General features: G+C 38.4%; 1 long non-coding RNA gene and 1 pseudogene across 2 annotated transcripts in view; both read left to right on the forward strand.

The window, feature by feature from the left end:
- The window catches only part of NCAL1 (NK cell activity associated lncRNA 1), a 282,375-nt gene that overhangs the window by 257,439 nt on the left and 1,749 nt on the right, over positions 1–23,187 (forward strand). Inside the window, exons 6-14 of the long non-coding RNA NR_186253.1 lie at positions 442–520; positions 1,131–1,167; positions 1,262–1,332; positions 3,695–3,873; positions 6,915–7,104; positions 9,384–9,502; positions 13,020–13,291; positions 19,470–19,704; positions 22,757–22,848. This is a non-coding gene — a long non-coding RNA (NK cell activity associated lncRNA 1). The remainder of the gene's footprint in view (positions 1–441; positions 521–1,130; positions 1,168–1,261; positions 1,333–3,694; positions 3,874–6,914; positions 7,105–9,383; positions 9,503–13,019; positions 13,292–19,469; positions 19,705–22,756; positions 22,849–23,187) is intronic.
- Positions 1–23,187, forward strand: part of ANAPC1P4 (ANAPC1 pseudogene 4) — a 38,267-nt pseudogene that overhangs the window by 11,935 nt on the left and 3,145 nt on the right. Inside the window, exons 4-12 of the transcript NR_160651.1 lie at positions 442–520; positions 1,131–1,167; positions 1,262–1,332; positions 3,695–3,873; positions 6,890–7,104; positions 9,384–9,502; positions 13,020–13,291; positions 19,470–19,704; positions 22,757–22,848. The product of NR_160651.1 is annotated as an ANAPC1 pseudogene 4 (transcript). The remainder of the gene's footprint in view (positions 1–441; positions 521–1,130; positions 1,168–1,261; positions 1,333–3,694; positions 3,874–6,889; positions 7,105–9,383; positions 9,503–13,019; positions 13,292–19,469; positions 19,705–22,756; positions 22,849–23,187) is intronic.

Raw genomic sequence — 23,187 nt, forward strand, 5'->3', positions numbered from 1 at the left:
TGGTAGTGGTTATGTGATATAACATTTGTCGAAACTCACAGAGCTGTACACCTAAAATGGACGAATTATTCTATGTTATAATTATTTTCTAGTTACACTTCAATTATGTAGCTAGGTGTGGTGGCTCATACCTATAATCCCAGCAGTTTGGGAGGCTGAGGCAGAAGGATTGCTCGAGGTCATGAGTTTGAGCCCAGCCTGGGCAACACAGCAAGACTCTGTCTTTACAAAAAATAAAAATAATATAAAAGAATTAGCTGGGCATGGTGGTGTGTGCTTGTAGTCCTAGCTACTCTGGAGACTGAAGCAGGAAGATTGCTTGAGCCAAGGAGTTTGAGGCTGCAGTGAGCTGTGATTGTGTCACTGCACTCCATCCTGGGTGACAAAGTGAGATGCTGTCTCTGGAAAGAGAAAAATAATGTTAATTTTCTTCTTTTGCAGAGTATTGCACTGTACATACTTGGTGATGAGAGCTCAGTTTCTGATGAATCCTCACAGTATTTAACCAGAATAACTGTAGGTAAGTTGGTGCAATGTTGCCTCTGGAATCAAATTTTTGTAGATGTCAGTATCAGAATTGAAAAAAGAATTGAATTTTTCTTGTTTGCTTTGGCGGCCATGTCTTACCTTTTTAGTACTGTTCTGGTCTGTTGCGGTCTGTTGTCCACAACTAATTTTCAGGTATCAGGATTACTTAAAATCTAATAAATCTTGTATTTTCAGTGCGGGTAAAAAGGACTATTTTAGCCTGAAGGAAATTATTGTACCATTGACTCTTGAACAACATGAGTTTGAGTTGTGTGGGTCCACTTACAATGAAATTCTTTTCAGCCAAATGCAGATAGAAAATGCAGTATTCTCTGATGTGAAATGCATATGCAGGTTCTGCAGGGCCAATTGCAGGACTTGAGCATGCACGGATTTGGGTACACATGGGGTGTCCTAACCAGTCCCCTGAGTATTCTGAGGGCCTTGACTGTACTTTTCAGCCTGCCACAGTATTGCTTATTTTATTATTTTTTTAGATGTTGTTTGCTAATGGATTCTTATTTTCAAATGTCTTCTACATGTTACATGTTTTCTTTACCAGGATGACTATCAAAATTAAGTTTCATTTTGTTGCCTTTTAGCCCCCCAGAAGTTGCAAGCAGAACAAGAGGAAAACAGGTGACTTTTATTTAGACTGTGCTTTTATGTCAGACACTTAAAACAATATTATTTACTGTTCTGCTTAATTACTTTATGTTTTATTCTCTTATAGGTTTAGTTTCAGGCATTCTACGTCTGTTTCTAGTCTAGCTGAAAGATTGGTTGGCTGGATGACTAATGTAGGTGAGAGCTTCTTTGTTACCTCCTAACTAGGCCGTGCTTCCTCCAGACTAGCTAGAAGTGGAAGGCATGAGGAGAGAGGGGCTCTGGCTTTGTGAAAAGGCCTCACAAGATTGAGATTATGGTTCATCAAGCCATATTCTTTTTTCTCGACAATCTCACAACTTTCATATAATAATATGTGGGATACCAGCTTTTTATCTTGGTGCATAAGGAATCTTTATTTGCCATTACATTGGAACATTTGAGGCTATGGCTATGTAAGCTGGTCTCTGAGAATGGAGAACTCTAATTACCCTACATATACACCTGAAATCATTGTGATACTCAGATATCAGAAATGGGTGGTTTTGGCAAAGTCTAAAAGCAATAATATAAACATTTCAGGGTATACTTTTGAAGGATAAATGCACTTTTGAAGGGATTTCAGGCACCAAGATGAACATTGAACTGGGAAGAGGAAGAGGAAGGAAAAGCGTTCTATATTCCCTATTCCCCAAACCTATGCTCCTAGGTTTTAAATTAAGTAAAATACCAAAGAAATTTTTTTTCACAAAGAACTGAAAAACAAAATTAAAAATTACTGCCACGAAGACATGATTTTAAAGATGAGGATATTATATGGGATGTATGTTAAAAAGTAAAGTTTTAATGAATATTAAAAGATGTTTTTGAAGTCTTATCTAAAGTATGTTCTAAATGAAGTTTCTGACAGGTTTTTTTTTTTTGCATTTTACCTTAAAAATGACAATAACTGTTGCGTAGTATACATACAGGATACCTATGCTGAAAAATATTGGATTAGTTCTATCCATTTGTATATTGCATAATATTTAATAAGTGTTATTCTCATATAAGGAAACATTTTTTGCCTCAATAGTTAATCGACTTTTTATATTATAAATAATGCATAGTATTATAAAATTTAGAAAATCATGATAAGAAAAACATGATTTAATTAACCTGAGGATAAAAAAATTTAAATATGAAATATGGTATACTTACAAAATAATATGTCAAACGTATATGTTTAGTTTAGAGAATGGTACTAAAGTGAGTATTGATGTACTGGTCACCCACCCCTAGAAATAGAACATTACCCGCATAGTAGAAGGCCCTTACATATCTGTTCTTGGATGGTCCCCTCCTGTCACACACCCCAATGTTATAGTGAACCACTGCCCTACCTACATTTGTGTTACCTTACTCTTGTTTTTCTTTATAGTTTTACATCTTTATAAATTGCTAGGTTTTATGTAGTTTTGAAAATATATAGATGTAAATATATGTTCCTTTTTCTTCACTCAACTTTGTTTTTTAAAGATTCATCCATGTCGACTCACGTAGCAGTAGCAGTGGGTCATTCATTTTCTCTGATATAGAGATTACTTTGTTTGAACATATCACAATTTAATTACCCATTCTGTTAATGATAGACAATCGGACTTACCCCTTTCTCCATCTCTTTTTTTTTTTTCCATAGCAAACCAGTATTGCTAATGAATATTTTTATACCTGTGTCTTGGTGTACCTGGGTGTAAGTTTCTATATGGCTGTTGATGGATCAAATGGGTGGACTGACCTATACATACCAACTGTTTTCCAAAGTGGTTGTACCAGTTTACACTACCATTGGCTATGGATAAGAATTATTGTTGCTCGGGCCGGGCACGGTGGCTCATGCCTGTAATCCCAGCACTTTGGGAGGCCAAGGCGGGTGGATCACGAGGTCAGGAGATCAAGACCATCCTGGCTAACACGGTGAAACCCTGTCTCTACTAAAAAAAAACTACAAAAAAAATTAGCCGGGCATGGTGGTGGGCGCCTGTAGTCCCAGCTACTCGGGAAGCTGAGGCAGGAGAATGGCATGAACCCGGGAGGAGGAGCTTGCAGTGAGCCGAGATTACACCACTGCAGTCCATCCTGGGTGACAGAGCAAGACTCCATCTCAAAAAAAAAAAAAAAGAATAAAAAGAATTATTATCGCTCTACATAGTTGCCAACACTTGGTATTGATTGGCTTTGACATTTACATTTCTCAGTGGCTTTAATTTGCATTTTCCTGATCACTAATTAGGTAGAGCATCTTTTCATATGCATATTGCCCATTTATGTTTCCCCTTCTAGGAAATGTCTTTTTGTCTTTTATATTTTTCTATTAGATTGTCTTTTTTTCTTCAGGTTTTTACAAGTTCTTTCAAAGAGACTTCCTATACTAGTCCCTGATGTTAAGACATTAGTCTGGTACTAAGAGGAATAAAATGAATTTATTTGTCAGGATAGATATTGTTGCCAACTTCAGCTAGGATAATTGGGACAGTGGCAAGTCTAAATTAAAATGTTTCTCTCTTCCTTTAACCATTAGGATTCACTTTAAGAGATTTGGAAACTCTTCCCTTTGGAATTGCTCTTCCCATCAGAGATGCAATTTATCACTGTCGTGAGCAGCCTGCCTCAGACTGGCCAGAAGCTGTCTGTCTCTTGACTGGACGTCAGGATCTTTCCAAGCAGGCCTGCGAAGGAAACTTACCCAAAGGGAAGTCTGTGAGTATCAACATAGAAAGTTCAGAGTTCCAATTTTAGCCTTAAATAAAATCATAAAGTAGAAATGTTCTTCATTTTCCTTTAAGGCTTTTTCTAAGTATATATATTAGCTTGTCTTTTATATTATATGCCAGACGGGGTTTGTAATTGTATGCGTCTTATTAATTGTTAAGTTGAGCATAGGAGCAGGAGATTTTGTGAATGTTCTGTCTTGTGCCTGGATCTTTCTTTGCCTTGAATCAGGACAAGTCCTGAGTGTAGTCATGGAAACTACCATGGCTATTTCCCTACTTGTACCATATTAGTAATTAACCACTTTGTAATTATTACATAGGAAAAGGGAGAGCACATATATCCTGAATTTGGATGAGTAATTATATATAAATATTTTCTACTGCATATTTTTCGATGTGTTGAATTTTTTGAATTTAACCTTTTAAATAGGTGTAAACATATTTATTTAATCACATAAAACTGCAGCCCCAGGGAAAAAATGTGTTTTTTTAGTAGAGTTGTTTAAAAAGATGTCTTAAGCTATCCCTCCCGAAATACTGTCTTTCATCAATCATCAAGTCTGTTTTTTTTTTTTTAAATGAGTTCTAGGAATCCTGCAAGTAGAAAGTAAAATTATTTCATTACTCTCCAATTATCTTTTTATATCATCCTCTCTTAAAACTTGAAAATGAAACTTTTAAAACTTATTCTAGAATTCTAGGTAACTTTAAAAAATGAACAGTAGAATCTCATCAAGGAGGATTCAGGAATAATAATTCCACTCCTGGTGACTCTTTTATGTTCATGTCCCGAGAAGACAGTGGGAATTTGGTCTTACCTCTTAGTAGCTTTTGAATCAATACATAATAATCAGTGCATTGTAACTATGAGTCACCTTAGGTCTTATTACTACTTCTTCAGAGCCTATATCAAAACTTATTCCTAACCTCAGAGTTGCCTAATGTGTACCCATGCCGGAGTCAGTTTCCATGGGCATCTGATCTCCAGCACGGTCATCCCAGCACGTCTCTCCTTTAATCTGCGCCTCAATCACAGCTCTTCGTTGAATTAGTATTTACATCCTGTTTTAAACAGAAAACAAATCTTTTTGCTTATAAAATGATTTTCCTGTGAGAGAGAGCAGTTCAGCACCATTAGCATTAAAACATTAATCTGTATTTGAATGTGATTTTAAGTAATTATGTCTAAATACAGTTTGTTCAGTTGAGGCTACATTTTATAACTAATCCCATCTAAATTTATTTTGTCACTGTTTGAGACTATGTTTTATAGCTAACTCACCCATTAGAATATAGTTTTTTTTTTTAAATTAGATATTTTATAGGAGCTAAAAATGAATTTTTAGGAACTAAAAGTGATTATTTGGTCGTATCTACTTTTTTTTCAGGCTGACCTTGTTGGTTTCACATTAAATGTTGCAAAACTTTAACATTTCAACTTGGAGTTATTCTTTTGTTAAAAGAGTATAATACTGTTTTTGAGAGAATATGATATGATTCCACGCAATTCACATCTGTGTTGCAGTTAGATTTAATTATTTGGACTGGGAAGCCCCATATTAAAGCACATGCTGGGCTTAGAACATGATGACAATCAAGGAATTTACCCTCTTACTTGTTTTGCTGTAGTTCAGTACTTTTCCTTCTAAGAAATTTTTATTGGAAACACATTTTTTAAAAAATAGTGAAAACTGGCTGGGTGTGGTGGCGCATGCCTGTAATCTCAGCACTTTGGGGTGGCCAAGGCGGAGGACTGCTTGAGCCCAGGAGTTTGAGACCAGCCTAGGCAACATAGTGAGACCTCATCTCTACTTAAACAATTTTTTAAAAAATTTAGCCAGGTGTGGTGGTATGTGCCTGTAGTCCTAGCTATTTGGGAGGCTGAGGTGGGTGGATCTCCTTGAGGTCAGGAGTTCAAGACCAGCCTGGTCAACAGGGCAAGACTCTGTCTCTACAAAAAATAAAAAAAATTATCTGGGTGGGCGGTGCACATATGTAGTCCCAGCTACTCGGGAGGCTAAGGTTGAAAGCCTGCTTGAGCCCAAGAGGTGGAGGTTGCAGGGAGCCAGGATCACACCACTGCACTCCAGCCTGAGTGACAGAGTAAGACCCTGTCTCAAAAAAAAAAAACAAAAAAAAGCTTAATAATGGAATCCAACCATGATCCTGTCTATTTAAAGTAGTAAAGTAAAAGGTATTTCATTGTGTGACTTCCCCCAACCCTTGGGGTATATCCTTTCAGGCTTTTTTCCTTCTCCTTCTATTAATGAACAGACAATATTTAAATTAGCATTATTAGCAGTGACTAGTATTCATATTCTACTTGCAATAATTTTTTTTTAAGAAATGATCAGGATGTAGTTAGATTTTTTTTATAGTTTATTCAGAATATTTCTCTGTTCGTATCCAGCCCCTTGACTGTTGCCCTAAATTTAAACTCTCCCCGTCATTTCCAAATATTTCCAAGTAGGCAATGTAGTACTTTTGTTTGTTTGTTTGTTTGGTTTGTTTGGTTGTTTGAGACAGAATCTCACTCTGTCACCCAGGCTGGAGTACAGTGGCACGATCTCGGCTCACTGCAACCTCTGCCTCCCGCATTCAAGTGATTCTCCAGCCTCAGCCTCCCCAGTAGCTGGGACTACAGGTGTGCACCACTGCGTCTGGCTAGCTAATTTTTGTATTTTTAGTAGAGACCGGGTTTCACCATGTTGGCCAGGCTGGTCTGGAACCCCTGGCCTCGGGTGATCCACCCACCTCGGCCTCCCAAAGTGCTGGGATTACAGAGTGTGAGCCACCACACCCAGCCAGCAATATAGTACTTTTTAGAAAGATTTGTAGATTAGAGTCCCAGTATACATTGCGGCCCCAACCCATGCCTGCTTTGGAAAACATATTTTCTCTGTGCTAGTATAGTCATGGCACATCAGCCTATATATCCTCATGTTCAGCAAGTGCACGTTAACTGCTTTTGAAATTATTATTATAATAAATCTGTTACTCAGGTGCTCTCATCAGATGTTCCTTCAGGTACAGAAACTGAGGAGGAAGATGACGGCATGAATGACATGAATCACGAGGTCATGTCATTAATATGGAGTGAAGATTTAAGGGTGCAGGATGTGCGAAGGCTTCTTCAGAGTGCGCATCCTGTCCGTGTCAACGTAGTGCAGTACCCAGAGCTCAGTGACCACGAGTTCATCGAGGAAAAGGAAAACAGGTGAAAGAAAACACGTGTACTATCTCTTGTCACGTTTCATTGTTACATTTGTGTCTTGTTTATATTTGTTTTTCCTTCAAGTTTTTAGCATTTAAAACCCTAAAGAGATTTAAAAGATACTTTCAAGTGAAAATATGCCCTGTGTTTTAAGTTTTCATCCAACTTTAACAAACCACGTGTGTTAGCAAAATGTCTTTGGCTTTTGAGGACATAATTGTTGTATTTCATACCGTCCTCCTCTTGAAATACATATAACAGTTTACTCTTTAGAAAAGGTGAATGTAAAACTATTTTGCCTGATAGTTACCTTAAGAATTTACAAACAAAGAAAACACTGGACTTGTTTTTCTGTGTCTTGATCAGGAATAGATTTTGAGGTTAGTGGGGTTTTTAGTGTAGTTTAAACTTATATCAGTATTTTTTTTTTGGATATGATAGATAATACTCCAAATAAAAATAGATAAGCCTTTCTTCTGCCACTCCCCTGCACAGGATACATCCCTTGATACATTATAAGACTCACGTGCCTATGACATTCCAGAGCTATTCTCTTGGGACACTTCTGTTTTAAAATTCTCTCCTGTTCTTTTATCTGCTTGTCTCTATCATCTATCATTCATCTGTCACTGTTTTCTAGTTCTCTTTACTTTTTTTATGGTACTGTTTTGAGGGGAACCATCACCCACACTTAGCCACAGGCTGCTGAAGATCTGAATTAGTTGTGATTTCCCTATTAACTGTTTCCTCTCCACATGTACCCAGTTATTAGTCACCTGTGAATAAAAAGATGGAGTGACAGAAGTTGAGTTTAGAGCATAGGATTTATGAGCATGGCCTCTAGAGCCAGGCATGGCCATGCTGTGCTGGGTGACTTTGGTTAAATTACTTTACCTCTTGTTGCCTCAGTTTCTTCATTTGTAAAAGTAGGCATACTTCATGGGATGGTGCTGTGTATCAAGTGAATTATTTTTACATAGCACTTAGAATACTGCTCAATACATAGTAAAGCTCAGTGCAGTCAGCCATTATTATTAGTAGAGTTCATTGATTCTAAGATGCAAGTTTTTTCACTTTTTAATATCTCTGAAATCAGTTGTGTATTTTAGTGAACAGGCGTCATAGTTTAATTGGCAGTGCTTTTTCTTTCTTAGTTTCTCATGAAATAATGATACATCTTATCAGTGGCATCTTATATTCAGGGGATATAATATTGTTCTCATTATAATTTTGTTACTTGCGCAAAGTTGAAGTGAATTATGTGTAAGATTTCCTCTAAAAAAATTCTATGGGTTGCAACAGACTCTTGGCTTTGAATTTTCCTGATCCCAAATTAATGTTGCGGTTGTGTTCCCAGAGAATCTTTAAGACAGCAAAATTTTTCTTTCCAGTTAGCTAGAAAAGCAGTTATGTGTGTCCAGTTAAGGAGGGAGTATGCTTATGAATAGCTTTGTCTGCAGAGAAAATGTTTGTCAGTTGTCAGCCTCTGAAGGGATATTTCTGTGTCTTCAGATATAGCTTGTATAGGTGTTTCTTAGTTATAAATGCCCTACTTCCAAAATTTCTGTTAGTTTTTTTTAAGTGGCTATATGGAATGTTAAGCTATTTTAACATAGGAAGAAGTTGAAGAGTGGTGTATGAATTTCACAGTAGAGCCAACAGAAACCATTTTAACCTTGAACATACCTGATACATAATGGTATTAGTCCTATAAATCTAGCCATCATGTAAGTGAAACCAATCTGTATTTCCCTTGGAGACACCATGAAATCCATTCACCTCTAACACAAGGACCTTGTTTCTTTTCTTGTGTACAGGCCACAGAAATGGTACTTCTGAGGCTGTATTGGCAAAAGGGATGGGAGGAGGATCCCACATGTACTGAGGACAGCTAGACTGAAATTAACACAGTGATAAAAACCCCAAAAGTACTGTATTTTCCTTTGAGAAGGTTAGCATCCATCGGAGTGGAATTTTAAATTTCTTTTTTTTTTTTGAATGCCTAGAGAGAGTCGGCTTGGTTTATAGGCCAGGTGGTTTTCATTCAATGTAAATATGAAACAAAACAGAGGAAATATGTCTCTCCCTAAGAGTGTAATAGGAACAAGAATATTAAAATGAAAATAATCATGTTTGGGTAGTTCACTCACATCTGTGTATGAATTTACTTTGAGACAACTTCATCTTATACAGTACACCTTCTTTTGAAATACTTACAGATGATATTTCAATTGCTCTTTGCTTTAAACATTTTCACATGTTGGTTTTTACTTTAATTACAGATTGCTCCAATTGTGTCAGCGAACTATGGCTCTTCCTGTAGGACGAGGAATGTTTACCTTGTTTTCGTACCATCCTGTTCCAACAGAGCCATTGCCTATTCCTAAATTGAATCTGACTGGTATGTTAAATTCTGGGCTCAATGAGAAAGGAAAATGATTAAGTACATGCATTAAGTGTAGTTCTTTAAATTAGTTAAAACAAAAGAAATGCTCCCTCTATCCCCAGTGATTTAAAATTTTCCTAATAGCTGCTGTAGTGGTTATCAAAGCTCAAATGCCATGTGAAACTAAACTTTGAGAGAAGCAGAATATAGTTCATTACTCATTTTTGCTTTTTAATGAGGTGATTTCAAGATCTAAAAAGTCACTTGGAGAAGTTCAGAAAGATATTATTGATAACGATGAGACTTGAATTTTAAATAATCTTAAGTTTAATATGTAAAAATATTTAGTTTTAAAATGTCTTACGTCATAGTTTAAACAGATGATCATTGTATAAATCAAGAAATGTACTAAGCAAAAAGAGAAACAATGGTCACTTGCAGTACTCCCACTCTTCTGCATCACTCCTTTTAACATTTTAGTATATATGTTTACTAAGTTTATTTCCACATATTTATAATTTTATATTTGTTTAATTATCAGAAAATTTATATCTATTTTAGATTTTTTTAAAAATTTACAGTGAACATCCTTTTATATCTAGCAAATAAATGTATGTGTTTATAATTATGTGTATGTATTGTATACATGTGTTTTTAATCAATACACTCATTTTTATTTGCTTCAGAGTATTTCATTCAGCGGATATACCATAGTTTATAGAAGCAGCCTGGTATTGTTGGAAATTACAGTTTTTTGGTATTATAAACATTGTTGGGGCGTATTCGTCCTGTGTATTTAGGCTAAATGCTTAGAAGTAGAACTCTTAGGACAGCAAGATGAATGGTTTTAAGGAACATGTCAAATTGCCTTTCTGGCTGGCACAAGTTTTTATTTCTGCCATATATAACTGTAGTTATAGTCTTGATTACAATGAATTTTATAGTGCATGTCCCCCTAATGCTGATTTGAATGTGTTCTAAAGGTGACAATTACATAGTTGAAATTATCACTGAAACTCTATTATAGTATATATGGTTTTGTGAAACCTATACAAAATGTATGTATAATGTTTGTTGTAGTAGTGTATAGTATATGTGGTAGCATATAATGTATAATTTAATATATGATAAATAGTACATAATATATGCAAACATAATTATACAGTATTTTAAATTGCATACTTTAAAAAATCCAGAGTTCCACTCAGATTTGTGAAAAGCTTGTGCTTTGAGCAGCATGCAGGAAATGAGATTGACTAAGTGAAAGAACACATTCCCATCTCCATACCATGCTTATTCTGAGCCCTAATCTCACTGAGGGACATAGTGAGCAGAGTGGCTTTTAATATTTAAATTGTCTCAGAGGTAAAGCACCTATGGCAAAATTTTAACAATTATTGATTCTTGATGGAAGGCATGGTATATAGATGTTCATTTTAGTAGTCTTTCCAACTGTTTATATGAAAGATTTCATATACTAAGTGCAGATTAAAAAGAAAATCTAATGCAAAATTGGCAAATGTTAAAATGTATTCAATCTGGGTGATTTAGCACTCAAGTGATACTTGGGTGGGTTTAAAAAATATATACATGCATCTTTTTTTCTGAATACATTTAATTGAATTTGCATGATTTAAAATGTGTTTATGACATTAATCCAACATTTTATTCTTTTAGTCATTCTGGTAGGCCAAAAAGAAAGGTTATCCTCTTAATTTAGGAAAGAATATTTTCTTAAATAGTTGCTTAACCCACACTGATGTGGCCTGTTGTACTTTTGTATGTTGTTATTCTCATTGAAGAAAATTTACCTTACCCTTTGCATTTTATTTTCTCTCGTGTATAAATATTATGTCTCTTGCATATGATGAATGAATGTTTCAGAAAGGTCACTCAGTTTTTTCATATTGATATGTCTGCCTTTTTTGAGAAAGTACAAGTGTAACTTATGAACTTATTACTCATTGTGGTGCTAACACTAGCAGTTGAGTTAGCTTTTAGGTACAAAAAGCATATAGTAAAGACAAATAAGTCTTACTTTGTGCTTTGTGTGTGTATGTGTACATGCTACAAATAAGACACTTTGCATCTACTTAAAATTATTTTACATAACATCTTAGAACTCTTTAAAAATGGTATTTTTAAAGCTGCAGTGAAATGGATAACTTTATGCAGTAATTAAAATATTTATGTTAATTATTTTATCCGTGACTTAAGACAATATTCAAAATATATTTAAAAAGATTCAATGTTTGCTGTGTATAATGTAGATCAAAAAGAAAAGAATCAAGAAAAAATTCGTAGGGAACATATAGCATTGTGAACATATAATTTACATTGTTCTTAAATAAATGGACCGTAAAAGTATAATCTGGTGAATGCCCTTTTGAAGTTCACTGGGTGACTCAAGTCTATAAAAGGATGCTTTTTACAAAACTATCTCTAAGCATTTTAAACAATAGCATATAATTAGATATCTATATCTGTATGTATATATAGAGAGAGAGAGAAAAAAAGAGAGCAAAGGGGGCATATATAGGTAAGACCTGTAGCAGATTTATTAAGGTTCTTGTTTCCTTTTTTTTTTTCTTTTTTGAGATGCAGTCTCTGTCTGCTGCCCAGGTGGGAGTGCAATGGCATGATCTTGGCTCACTGCAACCTCTGCCTTCCAGGTTCAAGTGATTCTCTTGATTCTCTTTAGAAAGTGATAATCTTTCTAAAGCATAAATCAGAGTACGTCACTTCCCTGGTCAAAGCCATTTAATTAATGATCTCCCATTGCTTTTTTTTTTTTTTTTTTTTTCCTTGAGTAAGGCAGAGTAGAATTTAATGAGTGACAAGAAAGCTCTCAACAGCGAGAGGGGACCCGAAGGTGGGTTGCCAGCCACGAGGCTGAGTCTAGAGGTTTTTATGGGCTTGAAATGGGGGAGGTACATGCTGATTGGTCTGTGGGTATGCTTGAAAAAGCACCATTTAGAAATAGGCACGATAGTGTAGAGGACCAACCTTAGCCTCCCAAGTAGCTGGGACAGGCACGCACCACCAGGCCTGGCTTTTGTCTTTTCTTAAGATGTCATTTTTCCTTAATGTCTAGGGGAAAATAAAGGATAGAACATTTGAAATTAACATCAGTGTCATCAGATGTTGGGATTTATAACTTGTATAGTTTAACAGTGATGTTAGTCTTCATTTTGGTTTTTAAGCTCTCTGTTTGAAAGAAAAAATGAGTGATTATCCCAGTCATCTCTGTATAATGTTAAATTGGTATCAGTTATCTCATTATATAGCCTCATACATTTTAACAAAAAGGACAATGAACTGTTTAGACAGTGAAGGTTTTTCCAGTTCCATTAAGTTTGACTCACATGTACAAAAGTTTTAAGTGGTCATAGAGACCTAACGTTCCAGGCATTATGGGGTTAATGGTTTTGAATGTAGAAAACGTAACTAATCTTAGTCTCAAAGATCTAAATTTAACAATCTTGGTTTTGTGGATTTTTATTCTCTCAATGTTCTTCGTTTGGCTGGATAGGGCGTGCCCCTCCTCGGAACACAACAGTAGACCTTAATAGTGGAAACATCGATGTGCCTCCCAACATGACAAGCTGGGCCAGCTTTCATAATGGTGTGGCTGCTGGCCTGAAGATAGCTCCTGCCTCCCAGATCGACTCAGCTTGGATTGTTTACAATAAGCCCAAGCATGCTGAGTTGGCCAATGAGTATGCTGGCTTTCTCATGGCTCTGGGTTTGAATGGGCACCTTACCAAGCTGGCGACTCTCAATATCCATGACTACTTGACCAAGGTGAGACCTGTGCTCCCAGTGCCTGGCTTTGTGCCTTGGCTGGCTATTGTAGTAGCTCCTAATTGCTCTATTTGCTCTTCTTTCTTCATTCTTGTACTTCTAAGTCCATTTGTCTCATAGTACATGGAATAATCTTTCTAAAGCATAAATCAGAGTATGTCACTTCCCTGGTCAAAGCCATTTAATTAATGATCTCCCATTGCTTTTTTTTTTTTTTTTTTTCCCTGAGTAAGGTAGAGTAGAATTTAATGAGTGACAAGAAAGCTCTCAACAGCGAGAGGGGACCCGAAGGTGGGTTGCCAGCCACGAGGCTGAGTCTAGAGGTTTTTATGGGCTTGAAATGGGGGAGGTACATGCTGATTGGTCTGTGGGTATGCTTGAAAAAGCACCATTTAGAAATAGGCACGATAGTGTAGAGGACCAACTGGGGAAGGGCAGGTATATGTAAAGTAGGTGAAGGATAAGGACCAATCAGGAGAGAGCATGCCAAACAGGAATGAGAGCTCTCTAGTCCATGGATTTATCCAGAACTTGTAGCTTGGTTTTCAGGCTTTCGACTGTCCTTGGCTTGAAGGTTGAGTTTCATCTGAGAATTTACCTGCCTCCTACCGCCATCAATCCCCGCTCTGAAGAGGTATATCTAACTGCTGTTCGGATAGGGGTGATGACTGTTCTGCTTCATGCTGACAGAGGGTGTTGCTTTGGGAAACAGCAGTCAGGTCTCTCTTAGAGGCCTATCTAAGTGTCCCCTGGTAAAAGAGAGCCATCAACCGAGGTTCCATTTGCATGACCACTTGGAGTTTGATGGCCTCTAGGCGAGAAAAAACAAATTTTACAAGGAGGTTAAGTACACATGGACCAAATATGAGTATTACAATGAGAACACAAAGAGGAACTAAAAGGGGGAAAATCCATGCCCATATATTAGGGACACCTAGAAAGGACAGGAAGAAAACCTCTGAAAATGGACTGTTCTATTCCAGGATTTTGCAAAATAGGGTTGTCATGGGCATGTCCCCCTAGATTATTAGATATGTTATAATTAGGCATTGCAATGCTTTTAATTAGATTTCTGATCCATAGGCTGCAGAATCCAGTAATGCCTGATAATCCCTTTAGTTAGCTGAGGGTCTTGGGGAGAAGGAAGGAGAAAATGGATCCAATTCTCTCCTCGCCCAGTGTCCTGGTCCCTTCTGACAAGACCAGGCATAGGTACTTCACTGAAGTCTGACGGAGTTGAGCCTTGGACTTTGAAACTTTATGTCCTCTGTCAGTTAGAAAATTAAGAAGAGCCTTATTGCTTTTCTGAGAAATTTCCTCAGTTGGGGCACAGAGTAGAGTGTAATCTACATATTAAGACTAACTTGAGTTTGAAAGAACTCAGAGAGATCTTTTGAGATTGCCTGCCCAAACAGGTGGGGGCTGTCTTGGAATCCCTGTGGTAACACCATCCAGGTTAGCTGGGTAGTCTGGTTGGAGGGATCCCTGAATGCAAACAAGTTTTGGGAGTTGGGGTATAATGGTATGCAGAAAAAAAGCATCTTTTAATTCCAAGAATGCAAACCATTTAGTTCCTTCAGGTATCTAAGTTAACAAAGTATAGGGATTGGGAACCACTGGGTAAATTGGTTAATTACACCAGTTACTCATTAAGGAGGTGGAGATCCTGGACCAGTCTCCATTCCCTGTTGGGTTTCTTTCTGTACTTCCAATATTAGGATATTACAAGGACTGTCGCAGGGTTTAACAAGGCCCTGCATCCTTAGGTTATTAATGATGGCTTCTAGTTGTTTCCTAGCTTCTGGTTTTAGGGGATATTGTCTTTAATTAGGGAAGGAGATGAGATCCCTGAGATGGATTTGGACTGGTGAGACTGTTGTAGCTCAGCCAGTATTTTCCTGAATTGCCCAAACATCTGGATTAATATCAGTCTCCACCAGAGGGAGGCAAAGAGTCTGTCCTGGAGCCATAAGGATGGTGGTTCCCATGTGAGCTAAAATATCCCTACCTCAGAGGAGTCGGGCTTTCAGGTATGATTAAAAAGGCATAGGTAAACGAAAGGTCTCCCTAGGTACAGCTAAGGGATTGAGAAAAATATCGAGTCAGAGGCTTTCCTGAGACGCCCCTCACAGTTGTGCTAAGGGAGGAGGGGAGGCCCAGAATGGAGAGGAGAACAGGAATGGCTGCTCTGGTGTTGAGTAGGAAGTCTGTCCTCTGAGTCCTTTGACCTCCAGACTCACCCGGGACTCCTGGATGGTAATGCAGCCTGGGCTGTCAGAGCTGGGGAGGAGAGCCCTGGGACCCATCAGTCCTGCTGGACCATTTGAGAAGCCGGCTCTGAACCTTGGGACGTATGTTTCTGGAGGCAGTTTGTCTTCCAGTAGTCTCCCTTACAGATTGGACAGGGCCGTGGGGGCTGCTTCTGATTTCGGGGGCAGACTCTCTTTTAGTGCTCCCACACTGATAACAGTCGGTCATAGAATGAGAAGCTCCCTGGGATCGAGAGGTTTATATGCCTGTATGGCAGCTATTAGTGCCTCTGCCTTTTTCTCGTTCCTTTTCTCCCTTTTTCTTGGGCTTCCTCATGGTCCCGATTATAAAAGACCAAGGTGGTGACTTTCAGGATTTTCTTTAGAGTACTGTCTGGTGCAATAGCTAACTTTTTGCAGCATTCTTCCAATATTTGGGGCTGCTTGGGTTATAAACTTGTCTTTCAAAATTAACTATCCTTTTATAGAGTCAGGAGAGAGATGTGTGTTTAATTAAAGCCTCTCTCAGTTTTTTCCAGGAAAACAGAAGGGTTCTCTTCAGACCCTTGGTTTATGGTTGATAACTTAATGTAATTGAGAGATTTGCCTCTAGTTTTCAGATCTTCCACTGTGCATCCCTAAAAATGTTTTCTCGGCCACTTTCCTAGAGCAGTGTCTGAGTCCCATTGAGGATTATTGGTGGATGCTGCCTGCTTGGCTGTCAGAAAGGGCTCCCTAATTTCTTCCCCCTTTTGGTAGGTGCCATAATAAGATAAACATTTCATCTCCAAATGTCTCAGTGACCTGTAAAGCCGCCTGCTTCTCTGAAGCTCTAAGAGTCTAGTTGAGAAGTAACATGATACCCTTCCATGAAAGCTCAGACATTTGATTAAGGTTCTGAAAGGCTTCAATATACCTATCCAGGTCGACACAATTGTCCTAGATTTCTTTTTATCTGCCTCAAATCTTGTAAAGAAAAGGGGACTTGTACTTTGATAGGACCATATTCACTATGCATTTCCTGTAAAGGAAGAAGTGATGCTGGAGCGCATCCAGGTCGAACTCTTCTAACAGGATGAGGTTCAAAAGGGGGCCTGGATAAGGGGGACGAGATGATCCAAGAGGAGCTGGGACCTGGGCTGGTGCAGGGGCCTCTGTCTCCTCTTCTAAGGAGGCAGACTGTTTTTTCCCTTCTGTCTGGATTAAGTCTGGCTGGATATCACTGCTATAAGTGCAAGGTCTATTATACATTGCTGACAGAGCTTGCGGTTATTCTGCAGGGCAAAAAAGGCCTATACATATGGAATTTTGGACCATTTTCCTTCTCTGTGGTTGAAGAGATCTAGCTATAGGATAGTATTATAGTTGTTATTTTCCCCAGCTGACTAGGTCTCCCCATCTTCCAACTTCTAGCTGGGCCAAGCCTTGCTACTGATAAATACCAGGTATTTTTTCTTCAGAGTCTGAGGATCAAAGGAGTCCCAATGTCTCGCACTTGAGAGGAGTGCAGGCTACCCATTTAGAAAGAGAGAGGGGAGAAAAAGGCATCCTTAGTCTTTCCCTCTGCTGTGCTAGAGTCCAAGGCGTCTCTCAGGCTTGCCTTGGTCGTGGATGTGCGCGCAGCCACCATTCATGACCAGGGGGGGATCAAGCCAGCAGGAGTAGTTGCGTTCACTTGCACTCAGCCTTGACCCTCCTTGTCAACTGCCTTTGATTTCTCTGAATTCTATATGAGCTCAAGACTAAGATGAATCCAGGGGGGGTCCCTGCATATTATTTGTCTATAATTCTCATCTGGCTGGCAGTTTATTTAGCTTCATCAAGCATAACCCAGCATCCTGCCCTGAAAAGAAGCAATTTCTCAAAGAGACACATAACTAAGTAACATTTCTCAGAAGAGCAGTAGGAAAAACATGATAGGAAAGATTGGAAGTCTTTGTCCGACACCTGAACAGGCTGTTGGGGACTGGGGGCCGGTGTAGGGTCCTTCGGATGTACCCTTGGCCAGATACCTTTAGTTGCCCCAGGACCTTATTCTGATCCCACACGATGGCTGAACTTCTGTGAAGGGAAACTGGTTTAGAACAAGGCCAACATTCCCAACACCAGAGGGCAAAGGGGGATCGACCATTGCTCTTAATATACATTCTAGGAGCTGGTGTGATCCTGTTCACTTCTCCAGCCCTAGGTGGTACCACTGTTCTTCGTTTTTTTTTTTTGTTTTTTTTTTGATGTGGAGTCTCACCCTGTCACCTAGGCTGGAGTGCAGTGGTGTGATCTCATCTCACTGCAACCTCTACCTCCCAGGTTCAAGCAATTCTCCTGCCTCAGCCTTCTGAGTAGCTGGGATTACAGGTGCATACTACCACACCTGCGTAATTTTTGTATTTTTGATGGAAACAGGGTTTCACCATGTTGGCCAGGCTGGTCTTGAACTCCTGATCTCAGGTGATCTGCCCGCTTCAGCCTCCCAAAGTGCTGGGATTATAGGCGTGAGCCTCTGCACCCAGCCCCACTCTTCTTGCTCCCCCACACTCTAACCATACAGATTGGCTATTTTAGCTCTCTGGCAAACTAAACTCTTTCACTTCACAGCGTTATTTTTTTTTAAGGAATCTTTATTTATATAAATATATAAAATTCACATACCATACAATTCACTGTTTAAAGTGTGTGGTACAGTGGTTTTTAGTACATTCACAGAGTTGTGCATCCATCACCACTGTTAATTTTAGAACATCTTTTCACCCCATAAAGGAACCTTGTACCCACTAGTGGTGACTCCCCATTCCTCTACCTCACCCCCCCACCTTCACTTCACTTCCTGCCAACCACTAATCTACTTTCCGTGTCTGTGGGTTTGCCTTTTCTGGACCTTTCATATGAACGGAGTCATACAAAATATGGTATTTTAGGATGGGCTTCTTTCACTTAGCCTGATAATTTTAGGGTTCATCCGTGTTGTACCATCTATCAGCAATACATTCCTTTTTATTGTTGAATAAATGTTTTATTTTATGAATGTACATTTTATTCATAAGTTGATGAATATTTGGGTTATTTGTACTTTTTAGCTATTACGAATAATACTGCTATGAACATTTGTATACATGTTTTTGTGCGGATGTATGTTTTCATTACTCAAGAGTAATGAAGTAATGGTAAGTAGTGGTACATACTTAGGAGTGGAATTGCTGGGTTATATGGTAACTCTGTTAAACTTTTTGAGGAACTGTAAACCGTTTTCCATAATGACTGCACCATTATACAACCCCATCAGCAATACATGAGAGTTCCAATCTCTCCATATTTTTGCCAACACTTGTTATATTGTGTTGAGTCCAGCCTCATTCTTTTGAATGTGTCCTTCCACTTGTCCCAGCACTGTTTTTTGAAGACTGCCCTTTACCTGTTGAATTGTCTTGGCACCCTTGTGGTCAGTTGATGTTAATGTGAGGGTTCATTTCTGAATCGCCTCAGAGCCATTTATTTACATGCTGTTTTATCACCTGAAACAGTCTTCCTCACCTTCTAAACTTGAGTGTCCTCTTTCTTGCCACTGTTCCTGGCTAATTTGTTTTCATCCTTCAGGTCCTAATATAAATTTCTTTGTATAATCTTTAGAGATTTCATCCCTAATAATCCTCTAGTCCCTCCCAATCTAAATTAAGCTATTTTAAAATACTCTTTCATAATACTTTGTACTTTCTTATTGTACTACTTTTTAATAATATATTTGTTTATGTTTTTTAATTTAACACTTTTTTTCCTATTAAGTCATTAGGTCCATGAGAGCAAGGACCATGTTTGTTTAGTTTACTGCTGTATTCTCAGTGCCTCTCACCTTGCCTGTCAACATAAAAGTACTTCTTGAAAGTGGCAGGCAGTATTTTATTTTAAACTATGTATTTGTTTTGTTTCTATCTTAGGGCCATGAAATGACAAGCATTGGACTGCTACTTGGTGTTTCTGCTGCAAAACTAGGCACCATGGATATGTCTATTACTCGGCTTCTTAGCATTCGCATTCCTGCTCTCTTACCCCCAACGTCCACAGAGCTGGATGTTCCTCACAATGTCCAAGTGGCTGCAGTGGTTGGCATTGGCCTTGTATATCAAGGGACAGCTCACAGACATACTGCAGAAGTCCTGTTGGCTGAGATAGGTATGGGATTAATAGTGCTGAATCTTCATAGGCATGTACTCTCCACTCCACATTAACCCAATTAAAAGTGATAGTAAAATTATAAAAATTAAGGAAAGACAATGGTAGCTTTTGTGAGCAAAGAATGATCTAGTACTAATTAAAAAAAACAACAAAACTCTAAGTAATGTTATCCAAGGCTAATGTAACTGCAGGTTATTAACCTCCATGTTTATTTGCTAGCTCATTACTGAATTCCAGTGGTCACATTTAATGAGGTACCTGTGGTTTTAATCAGCTATGAGTATGCTGTTTATCCTGCTTTACCAGCAGTGTCTAGCAGTGGCCTGCACTTAAAACTCAGAGTAGATTGTTTTGGTCCCTGAGAGACACTAAACTAAACACATCACAGTGTTTACTGTGTTGGATAACAGCACTTCCAATAGAAGTCAAGTAATGGACTCCTGCTTTCCTCCTTTACATGCTGGTGGGTATGTTGGTGATGAACCTGGAAATGGTAAGGTCCACACACTCACTTTAGTGAACATTGTCTCTGTTTTTTATTGGCTCCAAACTTTTTGGAAATCTTAATGTGTTGTCATCTTTTTCTGCCAAATGGAAATGCTATTGGCATTATTAATATGCTCAACAATTTAGTTACATACTTATATGTCCTATTCAAGATCTTTTCTATATGGATTTGTGAATATATTGTTAAAGATGTATTATTCTTTAGTATCATTGTATCAGATAGCTATTGCCACAGTGATGCTACATACATACAGGCATAGCATTGGCCCAGGCAGCTCTGCTTTAGGCTGTAGATGTGTAGCCGGCTGTTCTGCTGCCGTTCTGCCTCACCTGCCTCATTCTGGGACCCAGGCTGGAGGGTGTGTTTCTCTCGTGGTGTTGATAGAAACCTAGGAGAGAACCAGTGAAGATTGGGACCCATAATTTAGTCTACTATAATGATAAATAAAATTATTCCCAAAGTTGAAATGTTTTGGCTATCACAATACATGGTAGCATAAGTCAGAGATCTGAAAAACGCTTATTCTGAAAATATTCAACACTGGTTGTTAAAGCATGTTCATCTGCAAAGTAGTCTACCCTTCTTTGGCTATATCATGATGATGTCTAATGGTGTCATTGCACAGTCTCACAGCTGCGGCATACCTCTTTCACACTGTATATAGAAGATTTCATCTTTAATTCATATGTATATGCCTTTTTATATAATTACTGTCAGAATGTACATTAAAATTTTTTTTTTTTTTTTGAGAGTCTTGCTCTGTTGCCCAGCCTGGAGTACAGTGGTGCAATCTTGGCTCATTGCAAGCTCCGCCTCCCGGGTTCACGCCATTCTCCTGCCTCAGCCTTCCGAGTAGCTGGGACTACAGGCGCCCGCCACTACGCCTGGCTAATTATTTTGTATTTTTAGTAGAGACAGGGTTTCATGGTGTTAGCCAGGATAGTCTGGATCTCCTGACCTCGTGATCCACCTGTCTCAGCCTCCCAAAGTGCTGGGATTACAGGCGTGAGCCACCGTGCCCAGCCTAAAAATTGTTTTTATAGATCATTGTTATAAATGGGTTTTAAAACACATTTTGTATAATATTCATTGAGTTGATGGTCTGTAAAATGCCTTTTTTTAACTTTTAGAACCTTTTAGATTGTTTCTAATAATCCTTTGTTGTTATGTATAAACATTACACTGATTACCTTTGTGTGTGATTTTTTTCTTTAATTTTTATTATTTATTTATTTATTTAGAGACAGAGTCTCGCTCTGTCACCCAGGCTGGAGCGGAGTGGCGCGATCTCGGTTCACTGCAGCCTCTGCCTCCCAGGTTCAAGCAATTCTCCTGCCTCAGCCTACCAAGTAGCTGGGATTACAGGTGTCTGTCAGCATGCCTGGCTAATTTTTGTAGTTTTAGTAGAGATGGGATTTCTCCATGTCAGACAGGCTGGTCTCGAACTCGTTGACCTCAAGTGATCCACCTGCCTTGGCCTCCCAAAGTGCTGGGATTACAGGCAAGGGCCACCACGCCCAGCCTTTTTTCTTTTTTTTTAAATTGCATTTTTTTCCTATAGGGATAAAATTTCAGGAATGTGAACATTTTTTCAGAGGGAAGGGTTTTAATACATAGTACATTTTATCGTTTTCAACAAGGTAGTGTTAGAGTTATAGGGTGCTTTTAAAAGTATGAATTTTGTATCCAGTCAGACTTCTAGGATCAGTACACAGAAATTCTACCATAGTAGGGCTCATTATTATATACACTCGAAATAAATGTCTAAACATAGTATTTAACAGCTTAACAACGTAAGTAAGTGACCTCCTTATTCATTATCATCATTCGAACATGTTTCACCACATGTGATGTGTGGATTTGAAAGTAATGAAAACAAAATGTAAGATATTTTGTTGTTGTTGTTGCTGAGATGGTGTCTCACTCTGTCGCCCAGGCTGGAGTGCAGTGACCTGATTTTGGCTCACTGCAACCTCCGCCTCCCAGGTTCAAGCGATTCTCCTGCCTCAGCCTCCTGAGTAGCTGGGATTACAGGCACCTGCCACCCTGGCTAATTTTTGTATTTTTAGTAGAGACAGGGTTTCACCGTGTTGGCCATCTGGTCTCCAACTCCTGACCTCAAGTGATCCACCTGCCTCAGCCTCCCAAAGTGCTGGGATTACAGGCATGAGCCAGCACACCTGGCCGAGATGTTTTAAAAAAAATAATAAAACTTTTTTTTGAATACTCTTACCTTTTTTCCTTTAAAATTTTTTTCTACTACTTGGTAATTTTTTTGATAAGACTCAAAGTTTCACAGTATTTCAATATCATTGCTTATAAAGACTTAAATTGGCAATTTAAAAAGAACTATTTTGGGCCCTTTTTTTTTGGTAGGTAAACCTACAGTTGTGGACATCATTTATTATAGTGTCATAACTTTCTGAATAGTTATATCCCATTCATATCTCCAGTGCAACTTGCTAGAAAGTTAACTCTAAGATTTTTATGAGATGAGATTTTGAGAAGCTAGTTTGAACTGTGTTGCTTTTCTTTTTACAGGACGGCCTCCTGGTCCTGAAATGGAATACTGCACTGACAGAAAGTCATACTCCTTAGCTGCTGGCTTGGCCCTGGGCATGGTCTGCTTGGGGGTAAGCATAGCCTATGCCTTCCCATGCTTCAGTTAGGACATCTACATGTTGAGACAAATAACGTTGACACCTAAACCTGAATATTGTCCCTTACTACGACTTAATCTTCTGCCCAGCTCTCTTGTCTTTTTGGATATTTTTCAAGGTACCAGATTTGCAAATTGAGAGAAACTGTGGTCAAGAGTGAGACTTTAAGATTTCTTTTCCTCCAGCTTACAGTGTTCATGAACAAACTAAAGGGAATAAAGTTTTTTTTAAAGTGTTCAAGACATAGAATGAATAAGTGACAGCCCACTATGACTGAAAACAGAGAATAGTGAAAATGTATATGATCAGGAG

This window comes from Homo sapiens, chromosome 2 (assembly GCF_000001405.40).
Source record: "Homo sapiens chromosome 2, GRCh38.p14 Primary Assembly".
NCBI lineage: Eukaryota > Metazoa > Chordata > Mammalia > Primates > Hominidae > Homo > Homo sapiens.